This window comes from Homo sapiens, chromosome 13 (genome assembly GCF_000001405.40).
Source record: "Homo sapiens chromosome 13, GRCh38.p14 Primary Assembly".
NCBI lineage: Eukaryota > Metazoa > Chordata > Mammalia > Primates > Hominidae > Homo > Homo sapiens.
This window is the reverse complement of record NC_000013.11, coordinates 47,036,458-47,037,938: the sequence shown is the minus strand read 5'-3', so window position 1 is coordinate 47,037,938 and position 1,481 is coordinate 47,036,458. Positions and strand designations below refer to the sequence as shown.

General features: G+C 35.7%; 1 annotated feature.

Moving 5' to 3' along the window:
• Positions 1,087-1,186: an enhancer, noted in NCBI's record as "active region_7715". NCBI's record gives its function as "activates an Ori minimal core promoter by ATAC-STARR-seq in GM12878 lymphoblastoid cells {active_cell/tissue: GM12878}" and the evidence as "EXISTENCE:reporter gene assay evidence [ECO:0000049][PMID:35858748]".

Below are 1,481 nucleotides of genomic sequence, written 5' to 3'. Positions count from 1 at the left end.
ATGAATCTAACCCTAAAGCAAACAAACAAATGAGTAAACAAAAACCTAGCAAGCCTGCCAGCCTCCCTGGATACCACTGCAGTTTTCTGGGATCTTTTCTTAAGGAGGTCTTTCAGATGCTCATTCAGTGACCATCCATGAGGTCAACAGTCAAAACAGATGGATCAATTCCAATAGAGGAAATTGTATAGGTACTCTACAAATGTCTTCTCCAATTGTCTTTTAATCTTCTATCTCAGTTTTCTTAGCTCTAAAATGGGGATAAAGATAGAACCTCCTTTACTTTGAAGAATAGATGAGTTAATACAGGTACAACACTTAAAAGAGTGTCTGACACATGGTAGACATTTGATACATTTAATCTATTTTGTTACCTAATTTTGTAACCATAAGTTGTTCTAAATCTCCAGTGATTTAGCCATATGAATACTTCAGTATGTAAAAGTCTTTTCATGAGGTCTACCTAGTTGCTCTTGAAAATATTCAAATATTCTGTAAGTAACCGCAAGTTAAGAGATAGAGGTCTGTAAGTAACACAAGAAATCTCTTTATTACTTTATGGTCACACTATAGATACAAGCATATTAGCATAAGAATACAAATGCATAACACTACATATTCACCTTTGAATGGATTCCACAGACATTATTGTTGGAATCTGTTTTGGTTTTAACAATAATGAACACCAAAAGAGATGTGAGAAGTGAGTAATCAACAAATCAACACATTAGAGGCTGTTACAGAATAAAATTAATAGTATTTTATCACATAGAAGAATGCCTGACTCTCACTAGTTTCTGAATAAATATTTTTGAGTTGAAATAATCTGAAGATAGCAGACTATAAGCCCTTTAGGGGCTCAGTAACTGTTAGGAATTAGTAACAATTGCTGATTTACCTTCCACTCATATATTTGGTATCTGCAACATCTATCAGAGTTCCTAACACAATGGCTCAAGAGAAACTTCCATTGCATGAGAGAATATATGAATAAAGAAATGAATGAATCAAGTCAATGTTTTAGACATGAACGTCTCTGCTGTGCCCTTCCTCAGTCTAGGTCTCATTCCTTCTCCCCACTTTTGTATGTCCTCTTGGTGACTGCTTCCTCCTTTCTGTCTCAGTTTTACTTTCACTGCTCTATTTGGTGTGTCATTTCTGCCCCTCTTTTAAGTCTCCCCTTAACTGATTAAATTGATGGGCTTCAGGTTTAAAAAGGAAGATTAAACACACATTTTTAACCTGATTTCCTTCTCTAAACTCCTCTAAAATAAATGTGTAGCATTTTTAAAGGCATAAATCCTCAAGGACAAACAGAACAAGAGAGGAAACAACAGCAACACAATTTGAGAAGCTAGAAATCAGATGGATAAGTGGTAAATGATTTAGCAAACCTGAAAAATCGAAAACCGAGACTGGCTGGGGAGGGAGGCCCAAAAGCTAGCCAGTGCATACCTCAAATTCCAGAAGTGTTCAGAAAT